The sequence below is a fragment of the Homo sapiens genome, chromosome 14 (genome assembly GCF_000001405.40).
Source record: "Homo sapiens chromosome 14, GRCh38.p14 Primary Assembly".
NCBI classification, from domain to species: Eukaryota; Metazoa; Chordata; class Mammalia; order Primates; family Hominidae; genus Homo; species Homo sapiens.
Genome location: NC_000014.9, coordinates 64,514,151 through 64,529,557, shown reverse-complemented (window position 1 = coordinate 64,529,557; position 15,407 = coordinate 64,514,151). Strand labels below are relative to the sequence as shown.

General features: G+C 37.7%; 1 protein-coding gene and 1 long non-coding RNA gene across 29 annotated transcripts in view; one reads left to right on the top strand and one right to left on the bottom strand.

Moving 5' to 3' along the window:
* ZBTB1 (zinc finger and BTB domain containing 1) overlaps positions 1-15,407 on the bottom strand; it is a 29,978-nt gene that overhangs the window by 4,136 nt on the left and 10,435 nt on the right. For 14 of the 28 annotated variants that reach the window (XM_047431093.1, XM_047431095.1, XM_047431098.1 and 11 more), the window contains 2 exons: positions 12,807-12,958; positions 4,607-8,071 (listed from right to left, as the gene is read on the bottom strand). In XM_047431093.1, the coding sequence (XP_047287049.1) occupies positions 5,912-8,053 (2,142 nt within the window). In that variant the 5' untranslated portion in view covers positions 8,054-8,071; positions 12,807-12,958 and the 3' untranslated portion in view covers positions 4,607-5,911. Of the gene's footprint in view, positions 1-4,606; positions 8,072-12,806; positions 12,959-15,407 lie in introns of those variants that run through there. The other 14 variants (XM_047431106.1, XM_047431102.1, XM_047431086.1 and 11 more) reach the window with 3 other exon arrangements.
* The window catches only part of HSPA2-AS1 (HSPA2 and ZBTB1 antisense RNA 1), a 26,218-nt gene extending 10,811 nt beyond the window's left edge, over positions 1-15,407 (top strand). The window contains exons 3-4 of the long non-coding RNA NR_110550.1: positions 11,020-11,201; positions 15,177-15,407. This is a non-coding gene — a long non-coding RNA (HSPA2 and ZBTB1 antisense RNA 1). The remainder of the gene's footprint in view (positions 1-11,019; positions 11,202-15,176) is intronic.

The following is a 15,407-nucleotide window of genomic DNA, read 5'->3' as shown; positions in this document are numbered from 1 at the left end:
TCAAGCAATCCTCCCAACTCAGTCTCTCAAAGTGCTGGGATTATGGGTATGAGCTACTGTGCCTGGCTAAGATGATGAATTTCTTATCCACATAATCTGTTAAGGCAAAAAGAGGAAACTGGTTATTCTGTTATCCTGCTTTTTCTTGGGAATATTTATTTTCAAATGATTTGAGTCCTTCAACTCAACAGTCTTATAACCAATAAAAGGAAATGGAGATTGGCGGGAGAGATTAAAACATAAAGGACAGGAATAGGGGAAATAAAGGAAGAAAAGGTCACAGACATAGAAATGTGGAAGTTGAATTCAAATTAATTTTTAATTGAGCCCACCTACTATGGGCCCCTCAAAAAGGCTGACAGTACCACTAACTGTTTTAAGTTTAAATGAAGGAAAATCAAAACATAACAGCATTTAATATTTATTTCTAAAACATCATTCTGAATCAACCATTTAAATAAAGTTTTGTTTTCCACTCACGTTTTCACATTATTCAGCATGTTAATTGGGTACCCACTATTACTAGCCACCTTACCAGCACAGCAGATGACAGATGAACAAGGAGCACAATCTCATAGGAGCTTTATCACATGTGTTTCTAGGCTGAAAAGGCCCTTCTTTGTACTTCTTGATAGGTGGAGTACAGGAATGTAGAAGTCAGAAACCTAGGTTCAAACTCCAGTTCTAAGATACATAGTTTCTGTGTGATTTAGGAAAAATAATCTCTCTGAACCTCAGTCCCCCATCTGGAAAATTAGTATGATACTTACCTCATAAGGCTGTGGGGATTAATTAAAATTATGTATGTAGAGCACTTTGCAGAGTATAGAGAGTGCTAAATAAATGGATGCTGGGGTTATTAAGTGAGAGCCCTAGGATGGATGGATCATGGGTTTCCAAATATGGGATGCAATTTCAAGTTCTTAACACCAAATATAACCCTACTTGTTTTAGTTTCCTGGCATTCATCCTATCATCCCCAGTTTACTGCACCTCAGGTTATCAAGGATGTGGGAGGGATTCTACAAGGGTATGTTCCCCCAGAGCTTTTTGGTACCCTGCAATCCCAGAAGTTGTTGATGCTAGGATGTCTGGAGAGCACTGGCCATTTATTACTGAGAAGTATATGTTACAAAGGAGATGGGAGTAGTAAGGAAAGTTGAGGAACTAACTGATCAAAATAGATGAATGGCAAAAAAAAAAAAAAAAAAAAGAAAAGAAAAATGTTTTAACTTTTAATTCATGATAAAAACCCAGTTAAAATTAGGTATACCAGATTTCTTTATTCTTAACCATGTGTGCACATACACTCAGATTTTTTTCTTTTGGTAGTGATTTGGCTTTTTGTTAACAACGACACAAGTTTTATGTTTAATTTAAATATTACAATGGCTAAACTGGTTTTGGGGAAGATTTTCCAGAAATTTATTAAATACAAAGTTCCTTAACTACTGACTTAGAGAAATGAGTATTGTTTAACCAGGGAAAAAGTTGTCAACCACCACCAGCTTCTCTTCCTACTTTTTTTTAGAATATAAAAGATAATATCTCAATTACTTTTTCCTCTCTCATCATTACTTACAAAAATCTCAATTATTTAGGCATATCCTTGGCATGTTCATAAAATTGTTCCATAGGCATTCTATAATTATAGTCATATTATTTTTAATCCCTACTCATCTCACCTATAATTTTCAAATGTTTTTTATTCAATTTTTATATCCTGTTCATATATTTTTCAGCTACAGTAAAACATGATTTTTCGTGTGTATTATTATCTTTTTTTGAGATGGAGTCTTGCTCTGTTGCCCAGGCTGGAGTGCTGTGGCATGATCTCAGTTCACTGCAACCTCCACCTTCCAAGTTCAAGAGATTCTCCTGCCTTGGCCTCCCAAGTAGCTGGGATTACAGGTGCGCGCCACCACGCCTGGCTAATTTTTTTTTTTTGAGATGGAGTCTCGCTCTGTCACTCAGGCTGGAGCGCAGTGGTGTGATCTTGGCTCACTGCAACCTCCATCTCCTGGGTTCAAGCAATTCTCCTGCCTCAGCCTCCTAAGTAGCTGGGATTACAGGCTTGTGCCAACATGCCTGGCTAATTTTTTTGTATTTTTAGTAGAGATGGGGTTTCACCATGTTGGCCAGGCTGGTCTTGAACTCCTGACCTCGCAATCCACCCACCTCAGCCTCCCAAAGTGCTGGGATTACAGGCTTGAGCCACTGCGCCTGGCCTAACTTTTGTATTTTTAGTAGAGGTGGGGTTTTGCCATGTTGGCCAGGCTGGTCTCGAACTCTTGACCTCAGGTGATCCACCCACCTTGGCCTCCCAAGGTGCTGGTGCCCAGCCTCTACTTTTCCTTTTAATTAGTGTCCTGACTGCTCTAGCAAACTTTTTTTTTTTTTAAATTATTAGCCCCTCTGGGATCCTTTCTTCTAATTGAATTTTTGTCCATACTCAAACTGTTAGTTTGCCATATACCATTTAACCCATGTGCGTCATTTCTAATTTTTTTCAGAGATGGAGTCTCACTCTGTCACCCAGGCTGGAGTGTAATGGCATGATCATAGCTCACTGCTCCCTTGAACTCCTAGGCTCTATTGATCCTCCCACCTCAGCCTCCTGAGTAGCTGGGGACTACAGCTGCATGCCACCATGCCCTGCTAATTAAACAAATTTTTTTTTTAGAGATAGGGTCTTGTTATGTTGCCCAGGCTGGTCTGGAACTCCTGGACTCAAGCAATCCTCTTGCCTCAGCCTCCCGAGTAGCCGGAACTACAGATGCAAACCACCACACCTGGCCTCTGAATATTTTTACCTTAAAAACATGGGGGAGATGAAGACGCATTTCTGAGTCCTAATCTACTGCTGCCTTGGTTGTGCTCTATTAATTTCTGAGATTCTTAGTCCTGTTTACTAAGGAATCGTAGAACATGCAAGTTGTATTGTACTATAGTTGATGGCAAGCTTGCTAACCATTCCTCTGGGTTTTCTTGCTGTGTAGAATAAAAGGGCCAAAGCAAAAGAGTCTCATGGTGTTCATGAGACAGAAAGAGAATTTGATTCCACTATATATCTGTGTAGATTCTCCTTTCATTTTTAGATTTGGAACCTGAACACCTAAGTTACAAAGGCAGAAGATCTGGCAGCTTCAACACACTTGTTTCATTACCTTCACACCCAGGGAGGGCAAGAAGCAACAGCAAGGAATGACAGCTCTGCAGCTCTGCCCCAGGAGAGGAAGGAGATATTAGGGAACTGGGCTGGGGAAAAGTGCTGGATATTTTTCATTCTCCCTAATTTTAAAAAGCAAGTAGTCTTTAACTTTTTGCCTTGATAAGAATTGTACATTCCACTCTAGAGAAGCCTGTGCTTCCCTGTAGCTAGCTCCAAAACAAAAAGGTATGTTCTGTGTAACATGAAACTCAGAAAAAAAAATTGAGGTGGCCGGGCACGGTGGCTCATGCCTGTAATCCCAGCACTTTGGGAGGCTGAAGCCGGTGGATCACGAGGTCAGGAGTTCAACACCAGCCTGGCCAAGACGGTGAAACCCTGTCTCCACTAAAAATACAAAAATTAGCCGGGCGTGGTGGCATGCGCCTGTAATCCCAGCTACTGAGGAGGCTGAGGCAGACAACTGCTTGATTCTGGGAGGTGGAGGTTGCAGTGAGCCAAGATTGTACCACTGCACTCCAGCCTGGGCAAGAGTAAGACTCCGTCTCAAAAAAGAAAAATAAATAAATAAAATAAAAAATAAGTTGAGGTATGGCTTTCTAAAACTATAAACATCTCAGTCATGTAAAATTAGAGAGTAAAGTTTATATATTTGCTTGCTAATTGTTAGCTGTTAGTACATATCAAAAGACTAAATTAAGCCCCCTTCCTAATGGAATAGATAATCGTTTCTTCAAAAAGTGGTAGTATTTAGAAAAAGCCCTATTCTTTAACAATGGGGAAAGCCACTGCAAGAAAAATTTTGATGAGTCACGAAAAAAGTGATCTCAAATAAATTATGTCCATTATGATACTATATACTGTAGTTTGGAAACTTGGTTTATCTGATCTCTTTATACCACTCTCTGATGGTCTCTGGGTTAGAGAACTTTTATCTGGTTCCTATCAGTAATATACATACCACATTTCATTTTAAGTTGGATTTCAAATTTAATTACTTGATAAACTATTGTATCTAAGTAAGGGTAAGATGAATCACTTTTCCTGCTTTTGCTGTTAAATTTTTAATTTTTGTGTGTATTCTACCCGTCCCCTGCCTACTTCCCGTTATTTGAATTCTGCACTTGGTTCCTGTGCTGTTCCTATCCTTACTTAACACTTCAACATATCCCCACAAATCTGAGCTCACATGGTGCTCTAATGCTTTCAACTAAATCTGTACTCACCAGTATGTCTCTCAGTTCTTTTGGCAACTTGTTCTTTTATGTAAATTGTATACAAAATATGATTTGCATATTTTAAATATGATGTGAACAAAAAGAGCAATGCTATTAGTGTTCAGAATCACAAATTTATATTTTTAAAATTAGGAGTTAATTAAAATCCCTTTCATTATGAAAAGGGTACTACATTGCAAGTAATTCACATTAAAAGGCATTCTATTCAATAGATGTGTTTATTGGTGGGTCAGTTTTGCCAATGTTTTAATTCACATGTAATTATGTAGACCCTGTGTCAGCAACAACTAACAATACTACTACTTTAACTGAAAAAATGATAAACTGTTTCCATTGATATACTCTGTGATTATTTTATAATCCTCAAGTTTTATAGTCTTTTACAGAAAAAAATGATAATAAAATATGGCGATAAACTGCAATTTGCCACATTTCCTCCAAATCTTAGACAGTATAAAACACAAGACATTTTTTTGTGCACTCTACTTTTATAGAACAACCAGGTTTATAATTGATCTCTTTATTTTATTAGATTTATCAATATACATGGAAGCTTTCTCAAATCTCAAAGTTCCAGAAGTATGTATTGTAAAAAATCATCTTTTCCTTTAGAGGTCATATTCTTAGAGAGCTATTAAAGTCTATTTATAAACAAAAATAATTGATAAGCTAACACACTTTAGAAATCAGAATATTTTAAATTAAAATATTTTTAATGAATACAAGATATGTCTTTTTAATTAACTATCATAGTTAAATTTAATATCACAAAACAAAATGGCTTATCCCCACTAATTTTTCAAGTGAGGTAAAGCCACTGGAATTTACACTTAATATAAGTTTTAAATGTGATAATTAAATGATAATATTTTATCAATTATAGGAAATATTCATTTATAAAAATTTCCTCAGGTTCATCAATCTTTTTAGGCCAAGTTTGAGCCCATGTCAACCTTAAAGGTTAGATTCAGTGCACCTAACTTGCCTAATAAGCTTGTCAATTTAAGAATATGAATTTCATTAATAAGGGGGAATAAAGAGTAGTTAACTCACTAAAAGCAAACGGGATAGTTTCAAATAATTACTTAAGGAATTTTTAAAATTTAAACAGAAATGGCCAATGATTCTGGGTTTAAAATTTCACAGGATAACCTTAAAAAAAAAAAAACACATAGAAATAGTGAAGTCATCACCTTATTGATGAAAAACTAAAGTTTAATAGTCATTGAATGGGTAACAACCACTTGTAGTCTACATTTAAAAATTTTAATCATAGCTAAGAAAAACTAAAAACAAATAATTCTATTAAGAAACAACAAAAATGATAAACATTTAATACCTAAATGTAGATACTTAAAATCCTAAACAAAAATATTAAAGTTAAAAGGGCCTTGAAATTTGTTTCTAACAAATCATCTTATATAATCAATTCCTAAATAGCTCATATCCTTTGCTTTGGTGTTTTATCTGCTATCATCTAAACATTAGTACAGTAGAAAATCACTCAGGTTCTTTTCAAATGCTTGGCATTATAATGTGATCTCATATCTTTCCTCAAATTAAATTTTGCTCCACATATTCCACATGTATACAGATGAACATCCATGTGCTGCTCCAACTGTTCATTATTTGGGAATATCTGAAAGCAGACCTGGCATATAGTCTCACCAGCAGATAAATGAGAAATCATATGCCGTACATGGTCATGTTTTCTGAAGTTTCCTTGATCACAAATGGAACAGACATACCTGGCCATGCCTTTGTGCATATCATTGTGCAGTCGCAACTGACGCTCTCTTAAAAACTGCTTTCCACATGTTTGACAAACAAACTGTTTTTCCTTAGTATGAACAGTATAGTGTTCTCTTAAGTGACACCGCTGATAAAATCCTTTTCCACACAGATTACAAAAATGCTTTCGTCTGTGATCTCTTTCATTTTCTTCCATGATGGCACTCTTAAACATATCTTGATCTAAGCAGCTAGACATATGTTCAACCACTAGATTTTCAGTTTCAAAACGCTGGCCACAATTAGGACATCGAAAAGGGCAGGCAGAATGTTTAAATAACTGCTTTTTTTGGATACTGTTTATCTGGTAATGATTGTCCCTAAAATCATCCAGCATTTCAACAAACATATCTCTTATTTCGGACTGCTCATCAGGATTCTCTTCCAAGTCCATTTTCTCCTCAGTATTTCCTAACCCATTCATGGTCAGATCTTGGGGCTCGCCACATCGTTGAGCATGTTCCTGAAGCTGCCTACCCTTTACAAGTATTTGTCCACATTTACCACATGCACAGATATTTTCAATGTGTTTGGCTAAGTAATGAGATGACAGGTCCTCCTCGGTTATTGTAAGTCCACACAGCTCACAAGATGCATTTTCAGCATCCTCTTGTACTGGACTGCTGTTGTTAGGGGGCCTCATATTCTCTAAACCACCTCTTTCATCAGCACTTACTGACATTCGAGGTTTTAGAGTTTTCCTACCACTTTTTTTTATGCTGACATCTTCTTCAACATAGTATCTATAAAATGGCTCTTCAGGTTCATCTTCTAATTCATCATTGTCAGTGGATTCATTACAGTCTTTATCAGTAACTTTAATAATGTTAAAGTCTTTCAGTTCATCTGTAGGAATATCTTCTGGCTCCATCTTAATAATAATCCTTTTCCTCTCAGCAGCTCTGCTTTTCTCTTCGCTTGCTATTTCAGACTCCACTGTGCTACTTTTTCTGCTTCCAGTGGTTGAAGCTGAATCATCAGCAGCCTGGCTTGTGTCTCCTCTGTATTTGTCCGTCTGTGCAGAAAATGTTTTGGAAGAATCTTTTTCACCAAATTCAGCTTTGATGTTACTGTCTTTTCCATCTCTAATATCTACTATTCTATGGTAAGATCTTGTGTTTTGGTATAAATGTCTGTTAGTACAGGTTAGCACATGCTCATCTAATAATTTTTCACAGCTAAAGCCAAATCCACAGCTATCACAGGTAAAACTCCGCCCAAAGCGTCTTGACACACGTTCTTTTGGAGTAGATAATTTGGACACGGAACTTTTTTTACATACATCAAATAGTGGCTCAGGAAAATTACCTAATTGTAAAGACTCTTCATCAGCCTCTCTATTATGTGGTGTATTTACCGTTGAACTTGGCTCTGCACACCACCTGTTGGCTTCATTGCCATTTCGAGCCACAGTATCTTCATACATTCTTACCCCAAATATCATTTTGCTGTTCTGTTTGCTGGAAGCAGAAGAGGAACATTTTGAACTAGAACAATCTGCATCCTGGATGTCTTCTAAACAGTCAGGAACATTGTATAGCTGTAGGTAGTTCATTGCCACTTTAAACTGCTCAAAACTGGAGGGAGCTGTCATAATTTTTCCTAAATACATAAACTGCAAAATGAGATCAAAACATTCTGCACTAATTTTCATGTTGCTGAGATTCAGTTGTGCAGTACTATGCTGATGGTTCATGAAAAACATTCTAAAATAGGAGCTACAGGCAGCTAGAACTGCCTTGTGTGCTTGAAAGTAAATGTCATCAATTGCAATACAGCAGTCACAGAGAAAACCCCATTCTCTTTGGTTGTTTAGCTGCTGAAGGACATAGCTGCTGTGGCTGGGCTTTGCCATCTTCTGTTAATTAGAGACCTATGTAAAACAAAAATATTAAAGTCAAACAAGATATAGAAAAGCACTTGACAAAATTAACTTTTATCATGATTTGTGACTTGCATGACTGCTATTACAATCAAGAAATTAAGAGCTTTCCATTCTAATAAAACTCAATAATATATACTTGAATCATTTTTTAAATTTGAAGATGAAGACATCCAGCCATTTATTCAGGCTTTTCATATTGAACAAAGGCATCAAAAGCAAAAGACAGTTTTAGTTTCATTACAACTCTTGGGGGGAACATGTACACTAAATTTGAACAGAAAAAAAGACATTAATTTAAAAATACTTGAAGGAGGCCGAGTGCAGTGGCTCACGCCTGTAATCCTAACACTTTGGGAGACCGAGGCAGGAGGATTGCTTGAGCTCGGGAGTTTGAGACCAGCCTGGGCAATAGTGTGAGACCTCTTCTCTACAAAAAAGTTTAAAAAATTAACCAGGTGTGGTGGCATCACCTGTAGTCCCAGTTACTTGGGAGGCTAAAGTGGGTGGATCACTTGAGCCCGACAGGTAGAGGCTGTAGTGAGTTGCGTCACGCCACTGCACTCCAGTCTGGATGACAGAGCAAGACTCTGTCTCAAAAGAAAAAAAAAAAAAGAAAACAACTCTTGAAGGATATGAGTAATGAAAGTAAATAAAACAGCAACTTAAACTGAAAGTTAACAATTAGATTGTAAAGTATGAAAAACTTATTAAATGATTAATACTAAGGAGCTATTGCTCATTTTTTAAGTGTGAGAAAGGTATTTTGATTGTGTTAAAAAGAATCCTTATCTTTTGGATATATATACTTTAGTATTTACAGATGAAATGATACATCTGAGATATGCTTAAAAATAAATGGGGTGGGTGTGGGGAGCAATAGATGATACAAGATTGGCCATGTGTTGTTAAAATAATCTATTTTAAAAACCCTATTAAGCCTGGGCAACATAGCAAGATCTCGCCTTAAAAACAAAACAAAACAAAACAAAAAAACATTAGCCAGGCATGATGATGCACCTGCAGTCCCAACTACTCGGGAGACTGATGCAGGAGGATGGCTTGAGCCCAGGATTTTGAGGTTGTGGTGAGCCATGATCACGCCACTGTACTCTAGCTTGTGTGACAGAGTGAGACTCTATCCCAAAAATAAAAATTTAAAAAAACCTTATTAGGGCTGGGTGTGGTGGCTCACACCTGTAATCCCAGCACTTTGGGAGGCCGAGGCGGGCGGATCACGAGGTCAGGAGATCGAAACCATCCTGGCTAACACAGTGAAACCTTGTCTCTACTAAAAATACAAAAAAAATTAGCCAGGCGTGGTGGTGGGCGCCTGTATTCCCAGCTACTCAGGAGGCTGAGGCGGGAGACTGGCATGAACCTGGGAGGCGGAGCTTGCAGTGAGCCGAGATCGCACCACTGCACTCCAGCCTGGGCGACAGAGCGAGACTCCGTTTCAAAACAACAACAACAACAACAACAACAACAACCTTATTAGATTATATAGAAATGGCACCAAACAAGTTTGATCAGTGCCTTTGTCTTTTCTTGAATTATCAAAGAAGCAATAATTCTATAGAGTTAGAATGTGTCTCATGTTGCTCAACATGCATTTCAGGGTATAAAGAAGCAGTGGGTTTATTTGAGAAGGTATTTTATTTATCCTTAGAGTGTAAAGTTTTCTTCCTTTTTTTTTTTTTGAGGCAGGGTCTCGCTCTGTTACCTAGGCTGGAGTGCAGTGGCATGATCATAGCTAACTGCAGCCTCAATCTCCCATGCTCAAGCAATCCTCCCGCCACAGCATCCAGAGTAGCTGGGACTGTAGGCACATGCCACCACATTCAGTTTTTTTTTGTTTTTTTTTTTTTAATATTTTAGTAAAGACAAGGTCTTGCTATGTTGTCCAGGCTGGTCTTGAACTCCTGAGTTCAAGCGATCCTCCTGCCTCGGGCTTCCAAAGTGCTGGGATTGTGGGTGTGAGCCACTGCACCTGGCCTCTTCTATTTTTTTTTTTTTTTAATTGTTAAAAGAAAAAAGTAAGGCTGAGCGCGGTGGCTCATGCCTGTAATCCCAGCACTTTGGAAGGGTGAGGCTGAGGTCAGGAGTTCGAGACCAGCCTGGCCAACACGGTGAAAACCTGTCTCTACTAAAAATAAAAAAAGTTAGCCAGTCGTGATAGCGGGCGCCTGTAATCCCAGCTACTCGGGAGGCTGAGGCGGGAGAATCGCTTGAACCCAGAAGGCGGAGGTTGCAGGGAGCAGAGATTGTGCCACTACACTCCAGCCTGGGTGACAAGAACGAGACTCCATCTCAAAAAAAAAAAAAAAAGTAGCAAAAAATTCAAACATAGAGGCATATAGAATAAAAACACACCTCAGATCACACACCTCTTTTCAGAGGTAACCCCTCCAAACACTCTGGATTATATACCTTCAGATTTGTTGAGATGCACATGTACATAGTTAGCATATTGAGTACCTATGAGATGCCAGGCACATAGTTTTGCTTTTGTTGTGTTTTTTAACCTAAATGGTATCATACTATATATATATATATATATATATATATATATACCTCTCTGCAACTAGTTTTCTTCATTTAACATTAGACAATATTAGTGGGCATTTAAGTATTTTTAGTGTAGGGAGCTGACTTTGGATAAGGAAGAAAGGAGAGGAAGTATTAAAAGCACTAGAAATCCTATCATATTATAAAGTTAAAATAAGATCAAATTTTAGCCTCAATTTTTAATCCGTATACATAAAGCTTCAGAATCTATCTTCTACTTAAAAATAAGTTCCTATGCAATTTGACTGAACTTAAAAAGAACATGTAACAAGCTGTTTAGAGAAATAAAATGTTCACTCTTCAAGCTCTGTAGTAGTAATTAAGGGTATCTACGTTTACGTACTTCTATTTGCTTTTTATCCATTCCTCAGCGATCACATATGGGTCATACGCCCCTTTTACTACCTATATGCCCATCCTGCCACCTCTAAGACATAAAGTTCCATAGCCAGAGATACAGGACTGGTGAAATGAAGATGGCTTATGATGAAACCTGCTGCCTTCTTAAAATTGCAACCACTGCACCTTTTCTGGAAGCCAGATCAAGTTTCAAGTAAGTACAATATTTCAAACCTCTGTAACTCAGGTATCTGTAAAAAGCTGTGAGGAATCATGTTCAGTATGTATCTAAATACAAAAAGCAATGTATGCACAAAGATAGTCATTAATGAGTTACTTCTCATTTGAATGCCTAGTAAAAAAAGGAGTCTTAAGGTAAATCTACGCCCCAGAATTCACTGTCATGTGGCAGTGAATTAAAAATTGTATTTCTGGGCCAGGCGCAGTGGCTCATGCCTGTAATCCCAGCACTTTGGGAGGCCAAGGTGGGCGGATTACCTGAGGTCAGGAGTTCAAGATCAGCCTGGCCAACATGGTGAAACCCCATCTCTACTAAAAAATATATAAAAATTAGCCGGGCGTGGTGGCACATGCCTGTAAACCCAGCTACTCGGGAGGCTGAGGCAAGAGAATTGCTTGCGCCTGGGAGAGGGAGGTTGCAGTGAGCCGAGATCATGCCACTGTACTCCAGCCTGGCTGAGGGAGGTTGCAGTGAGTCGAGATCATGCCACTGTACTCCAGCCTGGCTGACAGAGCAAGACTGTCTCAAAAAAAAAAAAAAAAAAAAAATATATATATATATATATATATATATTTCTAAATGGCAACTACAGAAGTGGGAAAAATGTTCAAGATGGAGAGCCAAATAAATAAACACAGGATACATAATTATGTTAGAATTATATAAAACAAATCCACGCCACAACCTTATTCAAAAGGTGGGGGGAAAAAAGATGAAAAAAATACACAAAAATGTTGACCCAAGCCCGTTTTAAGTAGGATGAAATTTCTATGTCTATAGTCATTTTTCTAGGATTCAGAGAGACATTTAATAAATAATAAACTATAGAGTAAGAGGCAGAGGGATAGGTATTATTTCTAAAAAACCAAACTTTCTATTAATAAGAGTAATTCAAGAATGAAACAAACTTGTTTGGAGAATGAGTACCCATATTAAAGCAGGAACAGAATGCTATTGAGGACAGTATAATAAGTGAAAAGAGCATGGGCCTAGGATCAGACAGACCTGGCTTCTTATCTAGCTTTGCCACTTTTGGGAACTTGCTTATCCTCATTGACCCTAAGTTTCCTGAACTGAAAAGGTAGGGATAATACCTCAAATACAGTATCATATATGAGGATTCACAGAGGCAATGTGTAAAATGCATCGTGCTTGGCATGTAATAATGAAAGTAATAGTGGATGTTGTAATGGTGGTGATGCTTATTTAAGCATCAGGTAAGTTTGAGTTGATAACCTTAAAATTTCCTTCCAAATAACAGTCCATTAGAAAGCCAGTAGTTAATCTATAAAAACTTTCAAGTATTAAATAGTCCAGGCTTGAAATAATGATATAAAGAGCACAGAAGTTCCAAAGACCCTTTCTTATCTAGATGAGCAGCAGTTTTATCATCAGCAACCAAAATTAATACAACTACATAGAAGATCAATATGATAGGCACATCTATAGCTATAGTCACAATTCAACTGAGTAAAAATACATATTCTTTTATTAACATAAAACACTAAAACATTTAAATAAGAGCACTTATAGCATTTTAATGCACATTTATTCATTCAACAAACATTTACTGACTACCTTTGGTATACCAGGCACTGTATAAAGTGTTGATCATCAGCAGTAGCACAAGTATTCTGTATTCATTTGAGGAATTTTTACTTTTCCTAGATCAGTGATTTCATTCAACACGTATTCTGCAAAGCGCCCACTCTACAGAAGAAGGCATCATGCTGTAGTAGAAAGAACAAGTGCTCTCAGTCAGACGGATCACAGTGTGAATCCCACTGCATCCATGTTTATACTCCTATATTCCCCCTATAGAGCTGGAAGCTGAACAAATGGAAGCTGAACAAATGCTGTGTCTAATTTTTAATCCTAACACAACAGTTTTTAGGCTGACCTAGAATTGTAGTTTAAGTAACATTATTATGCAAATGTCCAAGTTCTGAGTAAAACTGATTTTAGGCACAGTAACTTATAATAGCAATCATTGACACATTAGTACCAGAAACTCTGTCCTTGTTACACCTCATTCAGAAAAGCTTTTTTCTTAAATTTTAATTATTATTTTTTTGAGACAGGGTCTTACTCTGTTACCCAGGCTGGCATGCCATCATAGCTCAGAATGTCCTCAATAGCATTCTGTTCCTGCTTTAATATGGGTACTCATTCTCCAAGCAATCCTTCCACCTCACACCTTCTGAATAGCTAGCACTACAGGCATACGCCACCATGACTGGCTAATTTTTGTATATTTTTTGTAGTGATGAGGTCTTGCTATGTTGCCCAGGCTGGTCTCGAATTCCTGGGCTCAAGCAATCCTCCCACCTCAGCCTCCCAAAGTGCTGAGATTACAGGTATAAACCACTGTGCCTAGCCCAGAAAAGCTTTAAGAAGGATTACTACACCAAAAACAGGTAGAGGAGTATGCGGCAGGGGAGGAGGGATCTAAATTCCTGTGAGACTTTTAGCTTATCTCTTGAAGATAATTTTTTCATTAAAAATTTTTGAGGCCGGGCACCGTGGCTCACGCCTGTAATCCCAGCACTTTGGGAGGCGGAGGCGGGTGGATCACAAGGTCAGGAAATCGAGCCATCCTGGCTAACACAGTGAAACCCTGTCTCTACTAAAAATACAAAAAATTAGCCGGGCGTGGTGGCAGGCACCTGTATTCCCAGCTACTTGGGAGGCTGAGGCGGGAGAATGGCGGGAACTCGGGAGGCGGAGCTTACAGTGAGCCAAGACTGTGCCACTGCACTCCAGCCTGGGCGACAGAGCAAGACTCCATCTCAAAAAAAAAAAAAAAAAATTATGAGGCATTCACTTTCATTAAATTATAATTTCACTCAAATTCCAAGAGGAGTTTGCTCTTTTTTCATTTTTTTGACCTCTTTATTAATGCTGCCAAAAAAAGTTAATGAACTTTATGTTCTAGTAAAGCCTATAAAAGGTTTTAAGTAAATGGACAGCTTGTATTTCAGCTGTTCTTGTTTTTACGACTGAAATCTGTGATTGCTTTTGTTTGTACTACTAGCTGCATCACTGGTAGGACAAGTTTAGCACAACTAGAAGTCAAGGGCTCAGGTCTGAGAGCAGAACCTCCAATGTGACTCAAAGGACTTAATGTCATTTGGATAAGGAAAACAAGCTATATAATGCCAAGAGTTACACTAAGGCTAGAAGGATACCCACTGTGCAGAACTCTAGCAAGAATTAAGGAGTTAGGTGATCCAAAAAGTTTTATACTGGATTTTTAAAATTTTAGTCTGAAAAAGTTTAACGGCTCATCTCAAGTTTAAAAACAGTCACCAAGCACATTAAGCATATTAAGTAATTTAATCATACATTTTTAGAGCTTAGAGAGATCTAATCTAGTCTAACATTCTTATTCCATAGAAGGCAAAGATACATGGTTTTTAATGTATCAGGGTATAGTTAACTGTGCTGAAGCACATACTAGGACTAAGGACTCCTGACCACCCAGATAGTAATAACCTCTATATATGGCACTTCCTTGGTACTATACAGTATGGTCTTCCGGAAAGAACACTAAACAAGGACAGGGCATGAGTCCTTAATACAGGGTTTGTTGGTTGGATGCTATTGAGCAAGTGATTACCCCAATCTGAATTCTTTATCTGTAATGTGGCTTTATCCATACATGTCAATCTAGTCTTATTCAATAGATGTGTTCCCTAAGTTATACTGTGTAAGCTATTTCAGTAAATTTCTCACTGACATAGTAAGATTTCAGAAATATTTTTCCTCCATTGCTAGATCTCTCAAATTGGAAATAACAGTTTTGCTGGAAGTTTCTCTTGCTCCAGCCTTGGTAAATGATAATTTAAGGGTCTATAAATAAGCATATCCAATGAATAAAGAAGTAACTTAAAGGAATTTTAAAGTGTTTCTGTGAGGCAAATAATCACCCTCTAAATTGTGTCACAGACTTGCAGCACCAATGAGGCATTTGAAGATGATTCGCTTAGCCTCAGTGAAAGTCTAGAGAGCCTAGCATCACAGTCCCAATTCAGCACCCCAATCTCTGACTTACAATTACCTCTGGATCTCAAGGAAGATTTATGTATATATGTTTCCTTTTACCTATTTCTATGTCTTATAGGTTGAATGTATGTATGCATATGGATTTGAGGATTACAGAGTATTTTAAAAGTCTAA